The sequence below is a fragment of the Homo sapiens genome, chromosome 5 (assembly GCF_000001405.40).
Source record: "Homo sapiens chromosome 5, GRCh38.p14 Primary Assembly".
NCBI classification, from domain to species: Eukaryota; Metazoa; Chordata; class Mammalia; order Primates; family Hominidae; genus Homo; species Homo sapiens.
Window position 1 is genome coordinate 116,090,761 of NC_000005.10, and position 27,222 is coordinate 116,117,982.

The 27,222-nt window shown below is 37.2% G+C and overlaps 1 protein-coding gene across 5 annotated transcripts in view, besides 1 other annotated feature; it reads left to right on the forward strand.

The window, feature by feature from the left end:
• Positions 1-27,222, forward strand: part of COMMD10 (COMM domain containing 10) — a 208,263-nt gene that overhangs the window by 5,736 nt on the left and 175,305 nt on the right. For all 5 annotated transcript variants that reach the window (NR_146220.2, NR_146218.2, NR_146219.2 and 2 more), the window contains exons 3-4: positions 319-429; positions 1,785-1,940. Coding sequence is in view for 2 of the 5 variants with exons in the window: in NM_016144.4 (NP_057228.1) it covers positions 319-429; positions 1,785-1,940 (267 nt within the window). In the remaining 3 variants the exon portion in view is untranslated. The remainder of the gene's footprint in view (positions 1-318; positions 430-1,784; positions 1,941-27,222) is intronic.
• Positions 758-958: a silencer, noted in NCBI's record as "peak5429 fragment used in MPRA reporter construct". NCBI's record gives its function as "represses an SCP1 promoter by STARR-seq MPRAs in K562 erythroleukemia cells {active_cell/tissue: K562}" and the evidence as "EXISTENCE:reporter gene assay evidence [ECO:0000049][PMID:32103011]".

Consider the following 27,222-nt stretch of genomic DNA (forward strand, 5'->3'; position numbering starts at 1 on the left):
TGTTTGCTCTGGTTAAAAATTATCCATGTATCTCAGCAGTTCTTTAGGATAGATGAGCCCCTTAGCACAGGGCTCTGATGCTTGTAATTATGACCTGCGTCACCACAAGATATTTGTTTAATCTAATTTATTTTGTTTACAAAGGTCTAGAAATGAGCATCATATGTTTTATAAATTTACATGCACATCAGTTTCTTTTCACCATGTATTTTTCTTTAAAGTTCTCATCTCATATACGAATAAATGAATCTTCTGTCAAGTATGAATTTTGAATGCCTGAATATGTGCTAATATAATAGATTGCTATTTGTATTATAGGCTGAGAGCAGTTTCAGTGAAGAAGAGGAAGAAAAACTTCAAGCGGCATTTTCTCTAGAGAAACAAGATCTTCACCTAGTTCTTGAAACAATATCATTTATTTTAGAACAGGTATTTTTATTGCATCAAATTTTCTAGCCATGATTTGTTTACTACATATTTGTATTGTTATGATATCTATGACATTCTGTTTTTTTTAATTAAAAAGTATGCAAGATGGAAGCTGTGAATGTATTTTAGTTAAGAATTTCAGTGTAAAAATATTTGAATATTGTAAAGTATTTAAATATGAATTGAGACTTCATTGATTTGAGACAGTTATACAAGATTTTAATTCATTGGTACTTGGTATAATGGAAAAATGGACATATTTTACTTAAGATATTAAATGATTTGGGGGATATATTGACTAGGATGGTAAGTAAGACATTTAGAAAAGAAGTATTGTCATATTATGTGCCACTAAGCTGCCTTCTGCATCCCTTTTTCTCATCTAAATTCACTTCCTGATTTAAGCTCCTATTCAAGGCTCATCTCCTTTACTTGAGCTGTGACCCCTTATACTTCCTTTATTTGGATTTTTAAAAATCCTTGGCTCATCACAGTAGAGCACATTGTTAGTCTTTCAGCAGTTCATATGCGTTAGTTATACCTCCTTCACCAGATTCTAATTTGTGGGGAGCAGGATCATATTTTTTGTGTATCTTATATAAGCCTACCACATTGGTGTGCTTAAAATAGATCCTCATAAATTCCTGTTGATTAAAAATAATACTTGTGAAATAAAAGTTTAAATAGTTTTGTAACTTCATGAGCATTTTAATGAACATATTAGGAGGACAAGCTACCAGTTATCTACTACAGCCTTACATACATTATAGATCACAAAGATAAATGTGGTTCTAATTTTTGGTGGGTGTTCAGTAGAAGAAAAGGATCATTGAGTAGGACAGCATAGCATGGTGTTCCAGAATAATGTAAGAAACAGAACAGGTATCAGTGTTAAAATTTTTTACAACTTTTAATCATATATTATGTAGGAAATTGGTAGATAAGGTAATTTTGAGAAAGTGCTTCTGGGAAAAAATTTGTTAGTTGGGAAACAAAACTATTGTATACTTATTTGAAATTATTAAGTGAAATAAATGAAATTTTAATTAGGGTACCATTTACATAGCCAAAGCAAAGAAGAAGTTTTTTGGTTTTTAAGTGGATTTAGGATTACTTAAAGCATAGGTAAGAGTGAGAAAAAAATTCATCTTGAATAATTTAGGCCATTTAATCCTGAATCTTCCAGCCCTTGGTCGTGTATTTTATTATGTGTAAAATAACCAAAAATGTTGGTAATAGGACTATGAAGTTTTCTTTTGACTTAAGTCATTTAAAAATAGTTTTGTATTTAGTATAGTTTAAAGTTTCAGTATGAAGATGAGGGACATATGTAATTTTTTGTTTCTTTTTAATAGGCAGTGTATCACAATGTGAAGCCAGCAGCTTTGCAGCAGCAATTAGAGAACATTCATCTTAGACAAGACAAAGCTGAAGCATTTGTCAATACGTGGTCTTCTATGGGTCAAGAAACAGTTGAAAAGTTCCGGCAGAGAATTCTGGCTCCCTGTAAGGTATAGAACATACTGTCTTAAATATGTTTTTCAATAACATATGGCATAAATTATTATACCTGAAGAGTTTTTAAAGTGATAATATTTTGTTGAGAGGTAGAGTCAGGCAAAAGAAACACAGATGCTCCTCAACTTACAATGGCCTTACATCCTGATAGACCTGTCACAAATTGAAAATATCGTTAAGTCAAAAACAGAGTACACTCTAGAGAATCAGTTGTTTACCCTTGTGATCACATGGCTGACTGGAAACTATCGCTCGCTGCCATTGCCCAGCATCATGAGAGAATATCATACATATTGCTAGCCCAGGAAAATACAGAATTCAAAATATGAAGTATAGTTTTTGCTGAATACATATTGGTTTCATGCCATTATAAAGTAAAAAAATTGTCTGGTATGGGCCCTGACTTAAGTTTAGATTTTACAGTAGTGCAAAACTATCGCAATTTCGATATACTTTTACTTTTGATCTCTTCTTCGGCTAGTGGTGTGGTACATAAGATATTCCTGTTTTTGGAGGCTTTTCAAGATGGCTGACTAGAGGCACAGGACACTTCTCCACAAAGAAGAACCAAAATAGTGAGTAGGTAATCACACTGTAAATAAAACATCTAAAAGAGAATGCTAGAGTTCAGTAGAGAAGTGACCGGAAACACCTGAGGAGAGGGAGGAGAGGTGGACAGCCTTGCTGGGATCAACCAGAAGCCTGGAGAGGCTCCTCAGTGTGGAGTTGGGGTAAGTGAGAGATCCCTAGCTGTCCACATTCTTGCTGCAGACTCCTGTAATCCTAACTGTGGGAGAGTTCTTGAACCCCATGGGCCCCGAGACTGGCATAGGGAGCTCCCTGAAGTTCATGCAATGGTATTGCTCTAGAAAGGGTGCTCTTGCTGGGTTCCATGCTCCCCCTGAGTCTTAGGTAGCTGGAGCACGGCTCCATTTTAAGAGTCTAATCCCTGTTAGAAACAGAATAATCTTAAAATTTGTATGAAACCAAAAGAGAACCCAAATAGCCAAAGCAATCCTAAGCAAAAAGAACAAAGCTGGAGGCATCATATTCCCTGATTTCAACTTGTATTACAAGGCTATAGTAACCAAAACAGCATGGTGTTGGTAGAAAAGCAGACATATATACCAATGGAACAGCATAAAATACCCAGAAGTAAACCCATGTATTTATAGCCAACTGATTTATTACAAAGTTGCCAAGAGCATACAACTGGGGAAAGGGCACCCTCTTTAATAAATGGTGCTAGGAAAACTGGATAACTATGCAGAAGAATGTAATGGCCCTTCTCTCTCACCATGTAAAAAATCAACTCAAAATTGATTAAAGACTTAAACATAAGACCCACAACTGTTAAAATACTAGAAGAAAACAGGAGAAATACTCCAGGACATTTGTCTAGGCAAAAATTTTATGGCTGACCTTCCTAAAACATGGACAAAAAACCCCAAAATAGACAAATGGAACTATATTAAACTAAAAATCTTCTGTACATTAGAGGAAACAATCAACAAAATGAAGACACAACCTGACAAATGGGATAAAATATTTACAAACTATTGACTTAGCAAATGATTAATATCCAGAATATACAAGGAACTCAAACATCTCAACTGCAAAGTAACTAATCCCATTTAATGTGGACAAAGGATCTAAACAAATGCTTCTTGAAAGACGATATATAAATGGCTAACAGGTATATGAAAAAATGCTTAAAATCACTAATTATCAGAGAAATGCAAGTCAAAACCAAACATGCCATATCATCTTACCCCAGTTAGAATGGCTATTATTAAAAAGAGAAAAAAATAATGGATGCAGGTGAGGATGTGGAGAAAAGGGAACTCTCATATGCTTTTGGTGGCAATGTATATTAGTACAGCCATTAGGGAAAAGCAGTGTGGAGATTTCTCAAAAAACTAAAATTAGAACTACCACACAGTCCAGTAATTCCACTACTTGGTATATATTCAAAGGAAAGGAAATCGGTATATTAAAGAAATATTTGTACCCCTGTGTTTGTTGCAACACTGTTCACAATAGCAAAGATAAGAAATCAACCTAAGTGTCCATTAGTGGATGGATGAATAAAGGGAATTTGGTATAATTACACACTGGAATAATATTCAACCATAAAAGAGAGTGAAATGTTGTTTGCAGCAACATGGATAGAACTAGAGGTCTTTATGTTACGTGAAATAAGCTAGACACAGACAAATATAACAGGCACTCACTCCTATGTGGGAGCTAAACAAGTTGATGTCATGGAGGTAGAGAGTAGAATGGTAGTCACCAGAGGCTGAGAAGAATGCATGGGATGTGGGGTCGGAGGGTGGATGAGTAGAAGTTGGTTAATGGGTACAAACATATAATCAGAAGTAATAAGTTTAATGTTTGATAGTTTAGTATGGTGCTTATAGTTGACATCAATATATTGGTCATTTCAAAATAGCTAGAATTAAGGAAGTGAACTGTTCTGAACACACACAAATGATAAATGCTCAGGGTGGTGAATATCTTAAATACCCTGACATGATCATTACACAGTCTATGCATATAAGAAAATATAACACATATCTCATAAATATGCAAAAATATTATGTATTGATTAACAAATAGGCTTTGTGTTAGATGATTTTGCTCAACCACAGGCTAATGTAAGTATACTGAACATGTCTAAGGTTAGCTAAGCTAAGCTGTGATGTTTGGTAGATTAAGTGTATTAAATACATTTGTGAATTATTGTATTTTAACTTAACGATAGATTAATTGAGGCATAAGCCCATTGTAAGTCAAGGAGCATCTGTATATTCTCTAGAAGTCCTCTGTGAGATATATGATTTGCACGTATTTTCTCCTAATCTGTAGCTTTCCTTTTCATTCTCTTAACAGTATCTTTCCCAGAACAGAACCATTAACTTTGATGAAATCTGTTGTATTTTTTTTTTCTCTTTTCATGAACCTACTTCTGGTTTTCTAGGAATTTGCAGCCTAATCATGACATAAATATTTACTGTTTTCTTCTAAATGTTTTACATATTTATATTTTATGTTTAGATCTAAAATCCATTTACTGTTAATTTTGTATGATACATAAAGTGCAGGTCAAAGTTCATTTTTTCTATGTATGGATGTTCATTTGCTCCAATGTGATTTGTTGTTAAAATTATCATTTTGTCATTGAATTACCATGTGTTTGTCTAAAATCATTTGATATTTTTGTGAGTCTTTTTCTGGAATCTCTCTTTGATTTCATTGACTTATTTGTCTATGCCAATATCACACTGCCTTAATTATTATAGCTTAATAGTAAGTGTTAAAATCAGGTATTGTGAACCCACTGACTTTTTTCTTCTTTTTTATAATTGTTTTGGCAATCCTAGTTTCTTTGCCTTTTCATATGTTTGAAAATCAGCTTTTGTATTTCTGTAAAAAATCCTGCTTGGGGTATTGATTGGGGTTGTGTTTAATTTGTAAATAACTTTATTGAGAAATGACTCCTTAATAAGTATTGAGTATATCTATTTATTTAGGTCTTCTTTGATTTCTTTTATCAGTGTCTTTTGTTTTCAGCTTATCAATCCTGCCCTTATTTTGTTAGGTTTGTACCTTAAGTACTTTTTCTTTCTTTTTTTTTTTGTTGTTGAACTATTGGTAGTATTTTTCAAATTTTGTTTTCCAATGGCTTATTGATAGTATATGGAAATACAGTAGACTTTTCTATACTGATCTCTATCCTGTAACTTGGTAAATTCACTAATTAGTTTTAGCAGCTTTCTTATAGGTTTTTTGTGATTTCCTTTGAAGGCAGTCACGTTGTCTGTGAATAAAGACAGTTTTATTTCTTCCTTTTCAATCTGTAGAGCTTTTATTTTTCTTGCTTTATTTTACTGACAAGGACTTCCAACGTGATGCTGAATAGGAGTGGTAAGTCTGAATATCCTTGCCTTGTTCCCAATTTTAGGGTGAAAGCATTCAGGCTCTTATCATTAAGTAGGATGTTAGAAAATGCCCCTTTATTGTTTTCACTTCTCTACTTCCCTTTTTAAAAATTCTGTATTCTTACTACTCTCAAGTGTCTTCTATGTCATTGCTTCATTTTTTATCATTTTAAAGTCTACTTTTTCCTATATCCTCTATAGATTTTAAGCTTTCCATTTGTTTCCCTGCAATTCTTTTTTTAAGCCATTTTCATTTTTAAAAAAAATTCTTGGCTTTTTAATAGTAGCCTGTTTTCTGTTTATATTTTTCCTATATTTTATACAGTCCGTTTTTTTCCTTGCACTTTAGTAGTCATAACAATTAAAAATATTTTTGTTTTCTGCTTCTAATAGTAAATTACTTTTTAGTGTCTTCATGATGAAAGTTTGTTTTTTTAAAGGTAATATTTTTCCCATAGTTGGATTACAGAAGCTTCTCTTTAAGAAATTAATTAATCATTTGTCATATAAAATATGCAAATAAAGAAGTTGGAATGATCTGATTAATTGTACATTGTCCCATTGAGAATGCTGGAAATTATCTTTTGGTAATTCTGGGTATATCATAGGATTGCTAATATACTATTTTAAAGTCTGAAATGCTTAAATAATATAATGATAACAAGCATTTATTGTGCTTATTGTGGGTCAGATGTTATAATGAGTTCTTTGTATGTTACAAAACCCATTAATAGTTCTAGTTTATACATGTACTTATAAAATTGAGGCTTAGAGAGGTTTAAAAAGTTGCCCATGATTGTACAGCTAAGTAAGTGGCTGAGTTGGGATTTGACAAGAATAGTCACATTCCTAAGCTATTATGCTATCCTAACACATAGATGTTAGCTGCGGAATTTTTCTGCGTCAGGCATTATGCAGGGTGATTTATATAGTTGTTTGTATGTACTTCATATTAGTCCATTCTCACATTGCTATAAATAACCTGAAATAGGGTAATTATATAAAGAAAAGAGGTGTAATTTGCCCACGGTTCTGCAGGCTGTACGGGAAGCATGATGTGCTGGCATCTGCTTGGCTTCTGGGGAGGCCTCAGGAAACTTACAGTCATGGTGGAAGGTGAATGGGGAGCAGGTGTCTTTCATGGCAGGAGCAGGAACAAGAGAGAGAGGGAGGAGGGAGGGGCTACATACTTTTGAACAAGCAGGTCTTGCGAGAACTCAACTATCACAAGAATAGCACTGAAGGGATGGTGCTAAAGCATTCATGAGAAGCCTGCCCCCATGATCCAGTCACCTCCCACCGGGCCCACCTCCAACACTGGAGATTACAATTGCACATGAGATTTGTTGTGGTCACAGATCCAAACCATGTCACATACCTTTTAAAAGTGAGGAAATAAAACTTTAGAAAATATTAGTCACTTTATCATATTATCCCAAGTGGTCCATGATGAAACTGAAATGAGGATTGGATCTGTCTGTCTCTAAGTCTTATTCCTTTTATATCATGCTACCTCTGGCAGCTGTAATGCTATCTTTCTTTTTCATTCTGAGAACTGTTTAGGATACTGTGGCCAAAATAGCCAGATGTGAAAACAGATCATGCCATTTAAATTGTAACAAAAATATATTACACTGACTTATATGATGAAAAAAGGTGTACATGCAATGACTTTAACTGTTTTATGGTAACTTAGGGTCCTACCCACATAAACTGTGGGGTGCTTGCAGCAGAACACATGTTGGTAGTACAGTCAGCCCTCTGTATCCCTGGATTTCGTATTCATGGATTAAACTCGCAGCAGATCAAGAATATTTGGGAAACAAAAAATTCCAAAAAGTGAAACTTGAATTTGCCATGTGCTGAGTACTATGTTAAATCCACAGAAATGATGTGTTGTCATTGTATTAGTTATTATAAATAATCTAGAGATGATTTAAAGTATAAAGGAGGATATGTGTAGATTATATTTAAATACTGTGTCATTTTATATGAGGGACTTGAGTATCTGCAGTTTTGGGTGTCTGTAGGGGGTCCTGGAACCAGCCCTCGCTAGATACTGAGGAAAGACTGTGATTCTGAATTCAAAGAGGGTAAGATCAATGAAATAATGTTAAAAAATCAAAAGGTGTTTATTTTTATTCCATTTTAAAAACTTCTTTTTTAAGCTTTATCGAGGTATAATTGATAAACAAAAATTATGCGTATTCAGGGTGTGCAATGTGATGATTTGATAGCTGTATACATTGTGTAATGATTACCATAATCAAATTAATCAACATATCTGTCACCACACAGTTACCACCTTTTATGTGTGGGTGAGTGTGTGCGTGAGGACATTTAAGATCTACTGTCTTTGAAAACTTAAAGTAAACAACGTGGTATTATTAACTATAGTCACCATGCCATACATTAGATTCCCAGAACTTAATTTGTTTTATAGCTAAAAGTTGTACCCTCTGACCAGCATCTCCTCATTTCCCTCATACCCCATCCCCAGGCAACTACCATTCTACTCTCTGCTTCAGTGAGTTAAACTTTTAGAGTATGCGTATAAATTAGCTCATACAGTGTTTTGTCTTTCTGTGCCTGGCTTATTTCACTTAGCATAACACCCTCCAGGTTCATCCATTTTGTCACAAATGGCAGTGTTTTCTTTTTAAAGGTTGAATAATATTCCATTCATTATCTGTTCATTTGTTGACAGACACTTAGGTTGTTTCCTTATCTTGGCCATTGTGAATAATACTGCAGTGAACATGAGGGTGCAGATATCTCTTCAACTGATTTCATTTCCTTTGCGTATAAACCAGGAGTGGGATTGTTGGATTGTATGATAGTTTTATTTTTAATGTTTTAAGGAACCTCCATACTGTTTTTCATAAAGGCTGTACCAATTTACATTCCCACCAACACTGTACAATGGTTTCTTTTTCTCTGCTGTCTTCCTAACACTTGCTGTCTCTTGTCTTTTTGATAATAGGTATTTTAACGATGTAACGTCATGTTGTATTATGCTTTTGATTTGCATTTCTTTGATGATTAATGATATTGACCACTCTTTTATATACCTGTTGATCATTTTTATGCCTTTTTTTGGTGGGGAGAATGTCTGTTCAGTTCCTTTGTCCAGTTTTTAAATGGGTTATTAGTTTTCCTGCTATTGAGTTTGTGAGTTCCTTATGTATTTTGTATGTTAACCTCTTATACATGGTTTACAAATACAGGTTGGGTATCACGTATCTGAAATGCTTGGGACCAGAAGTGTTTTGGATTTTGGATTTTTTGAATTTTGGAATATTTGCATATACATAATGAGATGTCTTGGGGATGGTAAGCAAGTCTAAACACTGAATTCATTTATGTTTCAAATACACCTTATATACATAGCCTGAAGGTAATCTTACACAATATTTTAAATAATTTTGTGTATGAAACAAAGTTTTGACTGTGACCTGTCATATGAGATCAGGTGGGAAATTTTCTGTTTATGGTATCATGTTGGAGTTCAAAGAGTTTCAGATTTTGGAGTATTTTAGATTTTGGATTTTTGGATTAGGGATGCCGAACCTCTGTTTTCTCACATTCTATAGGTTGCCTTTTCATTTTGTTAAGTTTCCTTTGTTGTGTAGAAGCTTTTTAGTTTGATATAATCACACTTGTTTGTTTTTGCTTTTGTTATGTATTTCATATCCAAAAAGTGATACGCTTTTGGTGTCCTATCCAAAAAATCATTGCAAAGGCCAGTGCTAAGGAGCTATTTTTCCTGTATTTTTTTCTAGAAATTTTATAGTCTCAGATCTTTCATTTAAGTCTTTAATTCATTTTTAGTTAATTTTTGTGCATGGTATAAGATAAAGGTCCAGTTCCTTTTTTTTTTTTTTGCATGTAGATTTTCAGTTTTCTCAGTACCATTAGTTGAAAAGGCTTTTTCCCATGGTGTATCCTTGGTGCCCTTGTCAAAGACTGGTTGAAAGACACTTCTTTTTATCTCTTATTGTTTAGATTTAATAAATGAGAGGGCCAATTGAAAAAAAAACTTGACATTAATAGCTTTTTGCAGAATATGATTGAAGGGATTTTAAAATTTCATCTCATCTCACTTTAATACGTCTGTTTTTTGCCATTTATTTATTTTTCTTTGTATAAATTCATGGTGTACAACTGAAATTTTGTTACATGCATAGATTTCATAATGGTGAATTCAGGACTTTTAGGTAATTTCTCATTATCCACCCTCGCAGCACCTCCTCTCCCTTCTGAGTCTCCATTGTCTGTCATTCCACTTTTTACATCCATGTGTACACATTATTTAGCTCCCACTTATGAGTAAGAATATGCAGTATTTGTCTTTCTGTGTCTGACTTGTTTCACTTAAGATAATGGCCTCCAGTTTCATCCAAGTTGCTGCAAAAGATATGATTCTGTTCTTTTTTATGGCTCAATAGTGTTCCATTGTCTATATATACACACCATATTTTCTTTATCCAGTCATCCAATGATGGACACTTAGGTTGATCCCATATTGTTGTTATTATGAATACTGTGATAAACAGGAGTGCAAGTACCTTTTTAGTACACTGATTTCTTTTCCTCTGGGTAGATGCCCCATTGAGGGATTGCTAGATTGAATGTTAGTTCTAGTTTTAGTTATTTGAGCAATCTCTATACTGTTTTCCATAGAGTTCCCTTTTCTATACTATTTTCCATAAGAGTTCTCTTTTCTCCACATCCTTGTTAACATCTATTATTTTTTAACTTTTTTATTTTTTATTTATTTATTTATTTATTATTTTGAGACGGAGTCTTGCTCTGTCACCCAGGCTGGATTGCAATGGTGTGACCTCGGCTCACTGCAACCTCCGCCTCCCAGGTTCAAGAGTTTCTCCCACCTCAGCCTCCTGAGTAGCTGGGATTACAGGCGCACACCACCACGCCCGGCTAATTTTTGTATTTTTAGTAGAGATGGGGTTTCACCATGTTGGTCAGGCTGGTCTCGAACTCCTGACCTTGTGATCCGCTTGCCTCAGCCTCCCAAAGTGTGGGCTTACAGGCGTGAGCCACTGCGCCCGGACTTTCTTCACTTTTTAATAGCCATTCTGACTAGGGTAAGATGATAGCTCATTGTGGCTTTGATTTGCATTTCTCTGATCAGTGATGTTGAGCATTTTTAAATGTATCTGTTGGCCATTTTTATGTCTTCTTTTGAAAAATGTCTATTCATGTCCTTTGCCCTGTGCCCACTTTTTAATGGGATTATTTTTGTTGTTGTTGTTCAGTTGTTTGGGTTTTTTGTACATTCTGGATATTGGTCCTCTGTCAGGTGCATAGTTTGCAAATATTTTCTCCCATTTTGCAGGTTTTCTATGTACTATGTTGATTATTTCTTTTCCTGGGCAAATCTTCTTAGTTTAACTAAGTTCCATTTGTCTATTTTTATTTTTGTTTTCTGTCCTTTTAAGATCTTAGTCATGAATTCTTTGCTTAGAACAAGGTCCAAAAGAGTTTTCGCTAGGTTTCTTCTAGTATTTTAAATTTCAAGTATTCCATTGAAGTCTCTTAATTCATCTTGAGATTTTTTTTATATGATCAGAGACAGGGGTCTAGTCTCATTCTTCTGCTTTTGGCAATGCAGTTTTCTCAGCACCATTTATTGAAAACGTTGTCTTTTCCTCAATTTATGTTCTTGTTGACTTTGTCAAAGAACACTTAAATGTAAATATGTAGCTTTATTTCTGGGTTTTCTAGTCTGTTCTCTTGATCTATGTGTCTATCTTTATACTAGTACCATGCTGTTTTGGTTATTATAGCCTTGCAGTTTAATTTGAAGTCAGAGAGTGTAAGGCCTCCAGGTTTGTTCTTTTTGCTTAGGACTGCTTTGGCCATTCAGGTTCTTCATTGCTTCCATATGAATTTTAGGATTGTTTTTCCTAATTTAGTGAAAAATGACAATGGTATTTTGATAAGGATTGCATTGAATCTGTAGATTGCTTTGGGCAGTATAGTCATTTTAATAATAATTCTTTTTATTATTATGTTTTAAGTTCTGGGGTACATGTGCAGAATGTGCAGGTTTGTTACATAGGTATACACGTGCCATAGTGGTTTGCTGCACCCATCAACCCGTCATCTACATTAGGTATTTCTCCTAATGCTATCCCTCCACCAGCCCCCCACACCCTGACAGGCCCCAGTGTGTGATTCCCCCACCCCTTATGTCCATGTGTTCTCATTGTTCAGCACCCCCTTATGAGTGAGAACATGCGGTGTTTGGTTTTCTGTTCTTGTGTTAGTTTGCTGAGAATGATGGTTTCCGGCTTCATCCATGTCCCTGCAAAGGACATGAACTCATCCTTTTTTATGCCTGCATAGTATTCCATGGTGTATATGTGCCACATTTTTTTTTAATCCAGTCTTTCATTGATGGGCATTTGGGTTGGTTCCAAGTCTTTGCTGTTGTGAACAGTGCTGCAATAAACATACATGTGCATGTGTCTTTATAGTAGAATGATTTATAATCCTTTGGGTATATACCCAGTAATGGGATGGCTGGGTCAAATGGTATTTATAGTTCTAGATCCTTGAGGAATTGCCACACTGTCTTCCACAATGGTTGAACTAATTTACACTCCCACCAACAGTATAAAAGCATTCCTATTTCTCCACATCCTCTTCAGCATCTGTTGTTTCCTGACTTTTTAATGATCACATTCTAACTGGCATGAGATGGTATCTCATTGTGGTTTTGATTTGCATTTCTCTAATGACCAGTGGTGATGAGCTTTTTTTCATGTGTTTTTGGCTGCATAAATGTCTTCTTTTGAGAAGTGTCTGTTCATATCCTTTGCCCACTTTTTGATGGGTTTTTTTCTTGTAAATTTGTTTAAGTTCCTTGTAGATTCTGGATATTAGCCCTTTGTCAGATGGATAGATTGCAAAAATTTTCTCCCATTCTGTAGGTTGCCTATTCACTCTGATGGTAGTTTCTTTTGCTGGGCAGAAGCCCTTCAGTTTAATTAGATCCCATTTGTCCATTTTGGCTTTTGTTACCATTGCTTTTGGTGTTTTAGTCATGAAGTCTTTGCCCATGCCTATGACCTGAATGGTATTGCATAGGTTTTCTTTTAGGGTTTTTATGATTTTTAAGTCTTTAATCTATCTTGACTTAATTTTTGTATAAGGTGTAAGGAAGGGGTCCATTTTCACTTTTCCACACAGGGCTAGCTAGTTTTCCCAGCACCATTTATTACATAGGGAATCCCTTCCCCATTTCTTGTTTTTGTCAGGTTTGTCAAAGGTCAGATGGTTGTAGATGTGTGGTGTTATTTCTGAGGCCTCTGTTATGTTCCATTGGTCTATATGTCTGTATGGTACCAGTACTACACTGTTTTGGTTACTGTAGCCTCGTAGTGTAGTTTGAAGTCAGGTAGCATGATGCCTCCAGCTTTGTTCTTTTGCTTAGGATTGTCTTGGCTATGTGGGCTCCTTTTGGTTCCATGTGAAATTTAAAGTAGTTTTTTTCCAATGCTGTGAGGAAAGTCAATGGTAGCTTGATGGGGATAGCATTGAATCTATAAATTACTTTGGACAGTATAGCCATTTTCACGATATTGATTCTTCCTATCCATGAGCATGGAATGTTTTTTCATTTGTTTGTGTCCTCTCTTATTTTCTTGAGCAGTGATTTGTAGTTCTCCTTGAAGAGGACCTTCAAATCCCTTGTAAGTTGGATTCCTAGGTATTGTATCCTTTTTGTAGCAATTGTGAATGGGAGTTCACTCATGATTTGTCTTTCTGTGTCTGTTATTGGTGTATAGGGATGCTTGTGATTTTTGCACATTGATTTTGTATCCTGAGACTTTGCTGAAGTTGCTCATCATCTTAAGGAGATTTTTGGTTGAGATGATGGGGTTTTCTAAATATACAATCATGTCATCTGTAAACACAGACAATTTGACTTCCTCTTTTCTTTTTTTTCTTTTTTTTTTTGAGACGGAGTCTCACTCTGTCACCCAGGCTGGAGTGCAGTGGCACGATGTCGGCTCACTGTAAGCTCCTCCTCCCGAGTTCATGCCATTCTCCTGCCTCAGCCTCCCTAGTAGCTGGGACTACAGGTGCTTGCCACCAAGCCCAGCTAATTTTTTGTATTTTTAGTAGAGACGGGGTTTCACTGTCTTAGCCAGGATGGTCTAGATCCCCTGACCTCGTGATCCGTCCGCCTTGGCCTCCCAAAGTGCTGGGATTACAGGCGTGAGCCACCGCACCCAGCCTCCTCTTTTCCTAATTGAATATCCTTTCTTTCTTTCTCTTGCCTGATTGCCGTGGCTAGAACTTCCAATACTGTGTTGAATAGGAGTGGTGAGAGAGGGCATCCTTGTCTTGTGCTGGTTTTCAAAGGGAATTCTTCCAGTTTTTGCCCATACAGTATGATATTGGTTGTGGGTTGTCATGAATAGCTCTTATTATTTTGAGATATGTTCCATCAATGCCTAGTTTATTGAGAGTTTTTTTTAGCACAAAGGGCTGTTGAATTTTATCAAAGGTCTTTTCTGCATCTGTTGAGATAATCTTGTTGTTTTTTCATTGGTTCTGTTTATGTGATGGATTACTTTTATTGACTTGCATATCTTGAACCAGCCTTGCATCCCAGGGATGAAGCCGACTTGATCATGGTGGATAAGCTATTTGATGTGCTGCTGGATTTGGTTTGCTGGTATTTTATTGAGGATTTTTGCATTGATGTTCATCAGGGATACTGGCTTGAAATTTTCTTTTTTTGTTGTGTCTCTGCCAGGTTTTGGTATTAGGATGATGTTGGCCTCGTAAAATGAATTAGGAAGGATTCCCTCTTTTTCTGTTGTTTGGAATAGTTTTAGAAGGAATGGTACCAGCTTCTCTTTGTACCTCTGGTAGAATTTGGCTGTCATTCTGTCTAGTCTGGGACTTTTTTTGGTTGGTAGGCTATTAACTACTGCCTCAGTTTCAGAACTTCTTATTGCTGTATTCAGGGATTCAAATTCTTCCTGGTTTAGTGTTGGGCAGGTGTATGTGTCCAGGAGTTTATCCATTTCTTCTAGATTTTCTAGTTTATTTGCGTAGATGTGTTTCTAGTATTCTCTGATGGTAGTTTGTATTTCTGTGGGATCAGTGGTGAAGTCCCCTTTATCATTTTCTATTGTGTGTATTTGATTCTTCTCTCTTTTCTTCTTTATTAGTCTGGCTAAGGGTCTGTGTATTTTGTTGAGCTTTTCAAAAAACCAGCTCCTGGATTCATTGATTTTTTTGAAGGACTTTTCATGTCTCTATCTCCTTCAGTTCTGCTCTGATCTTAGTTATTTCTTGTCTTCTGGTAGCTTTTGAATTTGTTTGCTCTTGCTTCTCTAGTTCTTTTAATTGTGATGTTAGGGTGTCGATTTTAGATCTTTCCTGTTTTTGTTGAGTTTTGTTTTATTTTTTTTTTTGTGTGGGCATTTAGTGCTATAAATTTCCCTCTGCACACTGCTTTAAATGTGTCCCACAGATTCTGGTACCTTGTGTCTTTGTTCTCATTGGTTTCTAAGAACAACTTTATTTTTGCTTTTATTTCGTTTTCTACCCAGTAGTCATTCAGCGGCAGGTTGTTCAGTTTCCATGTGTTGTGAGGTTTTGAGTGAGTTTCTTAATCTTGAGTCTAATTTGATTGCAGTGTGGTCCGACAGAGTGTTTATTAATGATTTCTGTTCTTTTGCATTTGCTGAGGAGTGTTTTACTTCCAATTATGTGGTCAATTTTAGAATAAGTGCGTTATGGTGCTGAGAATAATGTATATTCTGTTGATTTGGTGTGGAGAGTTCTGTAGATGTCTATTAAGTCCACTTGGTCCAGAGCTGAGTTCAAGTCCTGGATATCCTTGTTGATTTTCTGTCTTTTTGATCTGTCTAATATTGATAGTGGGGTGTTAAAGTCTCTCACTATTATTGTGTGGTAGTCTAAGTCTCTTTGTAGGTCTCTAAGAACTTGCTTTATGAATTGGGGTGCTCCTGTATTGGGTGCATATATACTTAGAATAGATAGCTCTTGTTGCATTGATCCCCTTGCCATTATGTAATGCCCTTGTCTCTTTTGATCTTTGTTGGTTTAAAGTCTGTTTTATCAGAGACTAGGATTGCAACCCCTCCTTTTTTTTGCTTTCCATTTGCTTTGTAGATCTTCCTCCATCCCTTTATTTTGAGCCTATGTGTGTCTTTGCATGTGAGATGGGTCTCCTGAATACAGCACACCAATGAGTCTTGACTCTTTATCCAATTTGCCAGTCTGTGTCTTTTAATTGGGGCATTTAGCTCAGTCACATTAAAGATTAATATTGTCATGTGTGAGTTTGATCCTGTCATTATGATGGTAGCTGGTTATTTTGCCCATTAGGGTTTCTGCTGAGAGATCTGCTGTGGGTAACCTGACCTTTCCCTCTGGCTGCCCTTAACATTTTTTCCTTTATTTCCACCTTGGTGAATCTGACGATTATGTGTCTCGGGGTTGCTCTTCTCGAGGAGTATCTTTGCGGTGTTCCCTCTATTTCCTGAATTTGAATGTTGGCCTGCCTTGCTAGGTTGGGGAAGTTCTCCTGGATAATACCCTGAAGAGTGTTTTCCAACTTGGTTCCATTCTCCCCATCACTTTGAGGTACACCAATCAAACATAGATTTGGTCTTTTCACATAGTCCCATATTTCTTGGAGGCTTTGTTCATTTCTTTTCACTGTTTCTTCTCTGATCTTGTCTTCTCACTTTATTTCATTGAGTTGATCTTCAATATCTGATATCCTTTCTTTTGCTTTATCGATTCGGCTATTGATACTTGTGTATGCTTCATGAAGTTCTCGTGCTGTGTTTTTCAGCTCCAAGAGGTCATTTATGTTCTTCTCTAATCTGGTTATTCTAGTTAGCAGTTTGTTTTACCTTTTTTTCAAGGTTCTTAGCTTTCTTGCATTGGGTTAGAACATGCGCCTTTAGCTTGGAGGAGTTTGTTATTACCCAGCTTCTGAAGCCTACTTCTGTCAGTTCGTCAAACTCGTTCTCCGTCCAGTTTTGTTCCCTTGCTGGCGAGGAGTTGTGATCCTTTGGAGGAGAAGAGCTGTTCTGGTTTTTGGAATTTTCAGCCTTTTTGTGCTGGTTTCTCCCTATCTTTGTGGATTTATCTACCTTTGTTCTTTGATGTTGGTGACCTTTGGAAGAGGTCTCTGAGTGGCCGTACTTTTTGTTGATGTTGATACTATTCCTTTCTGTTTATTAGTTTTCCTTCTAACTGTCAGGCCCTTCTGCTGGAGTTTGCTGGATGTCCACTCCAGACCCTGTTTGCCTGGGTATCACCAGTGCAGGCTGCAGAACAGCAAAGATTGCTGCCTCTTGCTTCTTCCTGAAGCTTCTTTCCAGAGGGGCACCCACAAGATGCCAGCCCCAGCTCTCCTGTATGAGGTGTCTTTCGGCTCCCACTGTGGGGTTTCTCCCAGTCAGGATACACAGGGGTCAGGGACCCACTTGAGGAGGCAGTCTGTCACTGGATCAGAGCTTGAATGCTATGCTGGGAGATCCACTGCTCTCTCCAGAGCTGCCAGGCAGGGGCGTTTAAGTCTGCTGAAGCTGCACCCACAGCCACCCCTTTCCCCAGGTGCTCTGTCCCAGGGAGATGGGGGTTTTATCTATAAGTCCCTGACTGAGGCTACTGCCTTTTTTTCAGAGATGCCCTGCCCAGAGAGGAGGAATCTAGACTGGCAGTCTGGCTGCAGTGGCTTTTTGAGCTGCAGTGGCTTTTTGAGCTGCAGTGGGCTCTGCCCAGTTCGAACTCTCTGGTGGCTTTGTTACACTGTGAGGGTAAAACCGCCTACTCAAGCCTCAGCAATGGCGGACGCCTGTCCCTCCACCAAGCTCGAGCTTCTAGGTCAACTCAGACTGCTGTGCTAGCAGCGAGAATTTCACGTCGGTGGATCTTAGCTTGCTGTACTCTGGGGTTGGGACCTGCTGAGCCAGACCACTTTGCTCCCTGGCTTCAGCCCCCTTTCCAGGAGAGTGAACGGTGATTCACTGGCATTCCAGGTGCCATTGGGGTATGAAAAAAACAAACAAACAAACTCCTGCAGCTAGCCTGGTGTCTGCCCAAACGGCCACCCAGTTTTATGCTTGAAACCCAGGGCCTAGGTGGCATAGGCACCCGAGGGAATCTCCTGGTCTGCAGGTTGTGAAGACCGTGGGAAAAGCACAGTTTCTGGGCCGGAGTGCACCGTTCCTCTCGGTACAGTCTCTTACGGCTTCCCTTGGCTGGGGAAGGGGGATCTCCTGACCCGTTGTGCTTCCCGGGTGAGGCAATGCCCCACCCTGCTTCTGCTCACCATCCGTGGGCTGCATCCACTGTCCTATCAGTCCCAGTGAGATGAACTGGGTACCTCAGTTGGAAGTGCAGAAATCACCTGCCTTCTGCATCGATTTTGCTGGGAGCTACAGACCGGAGCTGTTTCTTTTTGGCCGTCTTGCCAGCATATCATCATAATAGTTCTTTTGACCCATGAGCATGGGATGTTTTTCCATTTGTTTGTGTCGTGTTCAGTTTTCTTTCGTCAGTATTTTGTAGTTCTCCTTGTGAAGATTGTGCATCTTGGTTAAAAAAATATTCCTATGTATTTGGCTGAGCACTATGGGCTCATGCCTGTCATTTCAGCACTTTGAGAGGCTGAGGTGGGTGGATCACCACTCCTGGGTGATCCCCAAGAGTTTGAGACCAGCCTGGCCAATATGGTGAAACACCATCTCTACTAAAAATACAAAAATTAGCCAGGCGTGCTGGTGCGTGCCTGTAATCCCAGCTACTTGGGAGGCTGAGGCCTGAGAATTGCTTGAACCTGGGAGGGACAGGTTGCAGTGAGCCGAGATAGTGCCACTGCACTCCAGCCTGGGCGACAGAGTGAGACTCTGTCTCAAAAACAAACAAACAAAAAATTCCTATGTATTGTATTTTTCTTGTAGCCATTGTAAATGGGATTGTTTTCTTGATTTTGTTCTCAACTAGATTGTTACTGGTGTAAGAAATGCTACTGATTTTTCATGTTGATTTTGTGTTGTGCAGCTTTACTACATTCATTTATTAAATCTAAGAATTTTTCATGAATCTTTAGGTTTTCCTAGATATAAGTTATATCTTCAGCAAACAGTAATAATTTTACTTTCTCTTTTCCCATTTAGAAGCCTTTTATCTCTTGCCTGATGGCTGTGGCTAGGACTTCCAGTACTATGTTAAATAGGAGTAGTGAAAATGGGCATCCTTGTCTTGTCCAACGTTTTTGAGGAAATGTTTTTAACTTTTCCCTGTTCAGTGTGATGTTGTCTGTGGGCTTGTCATATATGGCATTTAATATTATGATGCATATTTCTTCTATGCCCAGTTTGTTGAGAGTTTGTATCATGAAGGGGTACTGCATTTTATCAAATGCTATTTCTCAGTCTATTGGTTTGATCATAAAGTTTTTCTCCTTCATTCTTTTTATGTGATGAATCACATTTATTGACTTGTGTATTTTGAACCACTCTTAGATCCCTTGACTAAAACCCACTTGATTGTGGTGTATTATCTTTTTAATATGCTGTTGGATTCTGTTTCCTAGTATTTTGTTTAGGACTGTTGTGTCTATGTTCATCAGGGTATTGGTCTTTAGTTTTCTTTATTCGTTGTGTCCTTGTCTGGTTTTGGTATTGGGATGATACTGGAGAATGAGTTAGGGAGAATTCCTTTCCCCTGTTCCAACTTTTTGGAACAGTTTTACAAGAATTGGTATTAGTTCTTTGTATGTTTGGCAGAATTCAGCTGTGAATCCGTCTGGTCCTGCGTTTTTGGGGGGAAGATTTTATTACTGATTTAATCTCACTACCCATTATTGGTCTATTCAGGCTTTCTGTTTCTTCTTTGTTCAATCTTGGGAGGTTGTGTATTAGTCTGTTCTTACATTGCTACACAGAAATACCTGTGACTGGGTAACTTATAAAGAAAAGAGGTTTAATTGGCTTATGGTTCTGCAGGCTGTACTGGAAGCATGATGCTAGCACCTGGGGAGGCCTTGAGAAACAAAACAATCATAGCAAAAGGTGAAGGGGGAGCAAACCCATCACATGGTCAGAGCAGGAACAAGAGAGGAAGGGGGGAGGTGCTACACACTTTTAAACCACCAGATCTCAAGAGAATTCACTATTGTGAGGACAATACCAAGAGGGGTGGTGCTAAATCATTCCTGAGAAACCTGCCTCCATCATCCAATCACCTCCCATCAGGCCCCACCTCCAACATTGGGTATTACATTTCAATATGAGATTTGGATGGGAACATACATCCAAACTATATCAGGTTATATGTTTCCAGAAATTTACCTATTTTCTGCAAGTTTTCTAGTTTATGAACATGTAGTTGTTCATAATAGTCTCTGATGATCTTTTGAATTTTTCTCATATCATTTGTAACGTCTCCATTTTGATTTCTTATTATATTTGGATCTTCTTTCCTCTGGTTAGTCTTGCTAGCACTTGATCAATTTTGCTTATCTTTTTAAAGAACGAGCTTTTTGTTTCATTAATTTTTTAATTTTTTTTTGGTCTCTGTTTTATTTAGTTTTGCTCTGATCCATGTTACTTCTTTACTTCTGCTAATTTTGTGTTTGGTTCGTTCTTGCTTTTCTAGTTCCTTTAGATGTATTGTTAGGTTGTTAATTTGCAATCTTTCTACTTTTTTGATGCAGGTATTTATTGCTGCAAAATTCCTTCTTAGCACTGGTTTTGCTGTGTCCTACAGGTTTTTGTATGTTGTATTTCCAGTTTCATTTGTTTCATAAAATTTTTTAATTCTCCTTAATTTTTTCATTGATCCAAAGGTCATTCAGGGGCATATTGTTTAATTTTTCTGTATTTGTATAGTTTCCAGAGTTTTTCTTGATATTGATTTCTTGGTATTGGTTTTATTCTACTGTGGTCTGAGAAGTTACTTGGTATGATTTGATTTTTAAAAATTTGTTGAGGCTTGTTTTGTGGCATAACATATGGTCTATATTGGAGAATATCCCATGTGTTGATGAGAAGAGTATTTATTCTGCAGTTGTTGGATAGAATGTTCTATAAATGTGTGTTAGGTACATTTTGTCTGAAGTCCAATTTAAGTCTGATGTTTGTTGATTTTATGTCTCAGTGAGCTGTCTAATGCTGTGAGTGAGATGGTGACGTCCCCTATTATTGTTTTTCTGTCTAACTCTCTTTAGGTCTAGTAATATTTGTTTTATGAATTTGGGTGCTCAAATGTTGGGTGCATGTATGTTTAGAATTGTTATGTCCTCTTGTAGAACTGACACCTTTAATATCAGGTTTTATACTTTTGTGTTTTCTTGATGGGGTTGCCCTGTCTCTTTCAAGTTTAGGACTCCTTTGAACATTTCTTGTAGAGCTGGTCTACTTTTGACAAATTCTCTTAGTATTCTGTTAATAATCTGTCTGGGAAAGAAGATTATTTCTACTTCATTTATGGAGCTTGATATTTCTCGATGTAGAACTCTTGACTGATAATGACTTCATTATTTTTTACTATTTTTATTTTAAAGTATGCTTTATCTGATAAAAATATAGCTACCTCTGCTTGCTTTAGATTTTCGTTGGCCCATAATATCAATCAATATCTTTTTCCACCCCTTTACTTTTAGTCTATGTGTCTTCACAGATAAGGTGGGTTTCTTGTAAATAGCATATAGTTGATTTTTTTTCTTTTTTTTTGAGATGGAGTCGCGTGCTGTCGCCAAGCTGGAGTGCAGTGGCGGGATCTCAGCTCACTGCAACCTCCGTCTCCCAGGTTCAAGCAATTCTCCTGCCTCAGCCTCCTGAGTAGCTGTGACTGTATATAGGTGCGCGCCACCATGCACAGCTAATTTTTGTACTTTAAGTAGAGACTGTCACCATGTTGACAGAATGTTCTCTATCTCTTCACCTCATTATCCGCCTGTGTTGGCCTCCCAAAGTGCTGGGATTACAGGCATGAGCCACCGCTATATGGCCTATAGTTGATTTTTTTTATTCATTTAGCCAACGTGTATTTTTTAGTAGGACATTTAATCCATTTATGTTTGAGGTGGTATATGAGATTTTGTTCCTGTCATATTGTTTTTTTCATCATTTTGTAAACTTTTGGGTTTTTTGTCTGTCTAAATTTATGGTTTGTTGGAATTCTGTAATGGTTTCATTTGATTCTTCTTCTTTGTATGATATCTTTACTAGTGTATTTTATATTTTTGTGTGTTTTCACAATGATAAATATTGTCCTGTCTCTTCCAAGTTTAGGACTTCTTTGAGCATTTCCTGTAGGACTGGTCTAGTTTTCATGAATTCCCTCAGTATTTGATTGTCTGGGAAAGACTATTTCTCCTTTATTTATGAAGCTTAATACTACCTGGATATACAATTCTTGGCTGACAGTTGTTTTCTTTCACACTTTGATTATGTCGTCACATTTTTTCCTGCCTTGTAAGGTTTCTGCTGGGTAGTCTGCTGTTAGTTTGATGGACTTTCCTTTATAGATGACACTTTTCTCTTGATTGTAGAATTTGTTCTTTCACTTTGACATTAGACACTCATTATAATATGTTGTATTGAAGTCCCTTTTATGTTGTATTTGCCTGCAGATCATGGAGCCTCCTGTATCTATTATGTCTGTATCTCTTGCTAGCCTTGGGAGTTTTTCAATCTATTATTTTGTTAAAGATTTTTGATGTTTCTGTCCCTTTGGGAATACCAGTAATTCATAAGTTCAATGCTGTATGCAGTCCTAAACACTTGGAAAGCTTTGTTCATTTTTTTCTTATTTTTAAAATTTTTATCAGACTGCACTGTTTGAAAAGACCTGTCTTCATGTTCTGAAATCTTTTCTTCTGCTTGGCCTAGTCTATTATTGGAGTTTCCATGTATTTTATATCTCCTTCAGTGAATTTTTTAGTTCCAGGATTTTTTTAAAGACGTCTATCTCCTTGGTAAATTTCTCATTCATATCCTGAATTGATTTTCTGATTACTTTGTATTAGTTTTCAGATTTCTCTTGTATCTCATTGAACTTAATTGAAATCAAAATATTGAATTCTTTGGGGTTGTAAGGTTTTCTTTTTGGTTCTGCTCTATTGTTGGAGAATTATTGTGTTCCTTTGATGGTGTCATATTGCCATGCGTTTTCATGTTTCTTGTGTTTTTATGTTCATTCTAGCACATCTGGAACAATTGCTTTTTTTTTCAATTTAACTTTTGTTTGGAGTAGACTTTGCTCCTTTATATGTGACTTCGATGTTGGTTGAGTAGGGCCACTTGTTTTTATTTCTGGGTGTGCGCATTGGTGAATACTTTATGATATTCTTGGCTATAAATATTGTTATTGGTATCTGTGGATTCCTTTGTGTGTTAGGGTGTGGGTTTTGATGGAGGATGTGGTGAAATTATGCTAGGGACTGGAATGCTTGATAGGTCCTTCTTCAGGTTTCAGTGGTAGCAGTGGTTGTCTAAGCAGGTCTATATCTAGGGCAGTGTGTGCTGGCACATGAGTTGGCAGTTCCATGCAGGCTGATTATTGGGGGCTCTGGGTGGCTCTTTTGGATACCAGTTGTGGTAGCAGTGTACTGGGCAAGTGAGTGGGCTCATGAGCTCTTGGGTAGCTGGGTGGCCTCAGTAATGGTGGCAGCAGTAGTGGTAAGATGCTCTCCCCAGTGCCCTTGTGTTGGGAGTGATTGCAATTGGCTGTGTGGGCTGACCTCCAGGCTGGGTGGCACTTGCAGATAGAAACCAACCGAGAGAGTAATGGCAGGGTTTTTATGCCCAAACTCTGTCCCCTGGGAGAAGTGCTTGGGTGTCTCAGGCAGTGGGCTGGACTGTGGGACCTCCAGAAGTCCAGATCCTGCATTGTGTCTCAGAGAGTAGGGCAAAGCTGGGTAAATCTGGATTGGGAAAGCCTGGGCTTGTCCTATGAAATGCTTGCATGAGGGGTGACAACACCTTTGCTGAAGTACTGCCATGATGGGAGAGTGGGGCTACTGGTCCCAGTGGTTTCAGCATTGGCTGGCAAGTGGGGAATCTGTGTCCCTCTCATGTCTCAGTCCTGGTGGGGCTTCCTCCCTTATCCCGACTCTTGCAGCTGATCCTGTAGTTTAGTCGGACTGGGTAGTTGTCACCTATCTCATAACTCAGCCCTGCCCAGGTCAGGACCAGACTGCTTTGGCGGCTCTTATTCTGCTCACATCTTGGGGGTTGCCTAGCTCCCAAGCTGGGGGCTGGAGTTTATGTCACGCTTGCTTTTCAGTCCTGGTTGCAGAATCCCATTTCCTACACAGGCCCCAGTTCAGCAAACCACAGATTGAGTTACTCTGATACTTAGGACTGGTGCTATAGGTTCCCAGGTCACACAATTTGTTAAACCCTAGGATTGAGAATGGCATCTTACTGTAGCTGCTTAGGTCTCAGGGAAGGTGTGGAACCCAGGGTGTGTTATTTCCCTATAGCAGTTCCTTTATACAGTCTCCTGGTTGCTTCCCAAGTCAAATTCAAGGTTTGGGAGGGTCAAGATACACTCCCATGGCCTGGATTATACAATTGATTCTCCAGTAGGAAAGTGAACCACAGAAAGACACTCAGTTACCTTCTCCCACGTTGCAGACTCCCTTTTGGTTGCCAGCCTGCCCTGTCCACATTAGCTGTTTGTTGTCCTCTCTTTTTGGAGTTTCTGTTTGCTTTTCTGTTAAATGCCTGTGTTCTGTCTTGGAACACTTACATTATAAGTGTGACTTTAACACTTTATCTTAACCTCTTTGGAGACTTGAGACTGAAATGTCACTACCACTTATTAGAATTTGTATTCTTCCCTCTTGAATCTGTGTTGACTGTTAGCAGTGTTCTTCTAACAGGGTTTTCTGTTTGATTTTGTTGTTGTAATACCTATGTGTTCATAACATTTATTAAATCATGAATTCTTTTCAGACAGAAATTGAATGCTATGTTTAATTTTATTCCTGAAATTCTATTTGGAGCTCTTTTACGTGTATTCCTGCCATACTAAATGTAAAAACTGACATGTCAAATGTTTTTGACATCAATGTATCTTTTCTGGGAGATACCTAAAGGAAACGACTTGAGTTCTTTTATATATATTTTCTAAAATATTTTTACAAATAAGATTATGAGACTTGTAAATAATATTTTAAGCACTTCTGAGTATCTTGCTCTTTAAAGCATGCATTTATTGACTCCTTAAAATGCACTTATGGTTTTGTCAGGGAGTTTTAAAATATAAATTCAACAGTTCTGTCTAGTTTGAATGTTTAGAATGTGTTTAATGTGATTTTCTCCTGCTAAGAATGTTCTTTATTTCGCCAAGTACATGGCAGATTTTCCATAATATAAACTATTATATAGTGAAACTTTGTATTTTCTTACAGGTTCTTGAGAAATCTACATGAAAAAATGGATAGACAATAGTCCTAAGATAATAATGTTCCTATAACATTAAAAAAATCCCCTTTAAGCCATTGTAAGATTTACTTTATTGTTAACAACTAGTTGTTTCATTAATTATTGAATACCTATCTTTTATATGGAGTATAAGAAATTATAAATTGTTACTTTAAAAACTTATGTTCTCTTGTTTTATTATTTTCTTTAATTTGATTTCATTTCTTTTGGCATTCTATGGATGGTCGAATGGCTTTGTCCTAAAGAGGACAGAAAAAGCATACTTTATGCAGCTAAAGCTTGAAACACAATATGTAACTGTGAATACATATCTGAGAGCTTCTTCAAGATTTAAATGCTTCTGAACATTATTGTCTTTGTTTATAGCAAGGGTATTTTGTTGTAATTATATTCACATGCAATTCAAATTTCTGCCTTTTTTGTTACTTTAGTTTCGGTATGTTATGTAAAAGGCATAGGTTTTCTGTATGCTTAAATTCACTGACTATACGTGGTTGTGAGCTTTAAATGCTGCTATGTATTCTCTACCTTTACTGAAATGTTTATCTGCAGTAAAATGCAGAGATTTTTTTTTTTTTTTTTTTTTTTTTTGAGACGGAGTCTCGCTCTGTCGCCCAGGCCGGACTGTGGACTGCAGTGGCGCAATCTCGGCTCACTGCAAGCTCCGCTTCCCGGGTTCACGCCATTCTCCTGCCTCAGCCTCCCAAAATGCAGAGATTTTAATTTAATTGTTCAGTCTGATGGGTTTTAGAAGTTATATACACACATTTAATTATGATACCTAACAAAGTATAGAAAATTTTCATCAGCAGGAAATTACTTTCAACCTCATCCTCACTTTTTTATTTCTGTCACCACAGATTAGTTTTGTCTGCTCTTGGATTTAACGTAATGGACTCATATAATATGTATTTGACTGTCACTCAAAATAATTTTTTTGATTCATTCATATTATTACATTTATTAGTAATTCTTTTATTGCTAAGTGTCATTCCATTATATGAAAATATCACAATTTGTTTATCTGTATTTCTGTTCATGTATGTTTGGGTTTTTTACAGTTTCTGGCTAATATGAGTAAGATTGCTATGAACATTTGTGTTCAAGTCATTTTATGGATATTATATTTTTTTCCCTTGCGTAAATATCTAGTAATGGGGATTGCTGATCCCCCAAGCCAAAAAGTCTGAGACTTCCTATTTAAGTTTTAGTCTCTCCATGCTACATGGATTGGGAAAAGTCATATATGTGTGAATCTCACCTTGAGTGGTTTCCTTTAAGAGTCAAATTTCCTTTAACTTTTGCCTGATTTTAGTCATTCTTTTTTGTTTGTTTGTTTTTGAGGTAGGGTCTCGCTCTGTGGCCCAGGCTGGAGTGTGCAGTGGCACGATATCGGCTCACTGCAACCTCTGCCTCCTGGGTTCAAGAGATTCTTGTGTCTCAGCCTCCCGAGTAGTTGGGATTACAGGCACGCACCACCACTCCTGGCTAATTTTTTTGTATTTTTAGTAGAGGTGGGGTTTCACCATGTTGGCCAGGCTGGTCTTGAACCCCTGAACTTAAGTGATCTGCCCGCCTTGGCCTCCCAAAATACTAGGATTACAGGTGTGAGCCACCACACCTGGCCTGATTTTAGTCATTCTTAATGCATTCAAATTGTTGTTTTAAAAAAACGTTTTGTATAGAGATTATATATTTTTATATTCAAGGAGGTTGGTGTGATATAGGCTATTTCCCAACCATTACTAGACTAAGAACTCCAAAAGTGATTTTTTAAAAATGTGTCTTATTTTATCCACCCCACTCCATTTCCATTTTAGGGTTTCCATGTTACTCATTGTAGA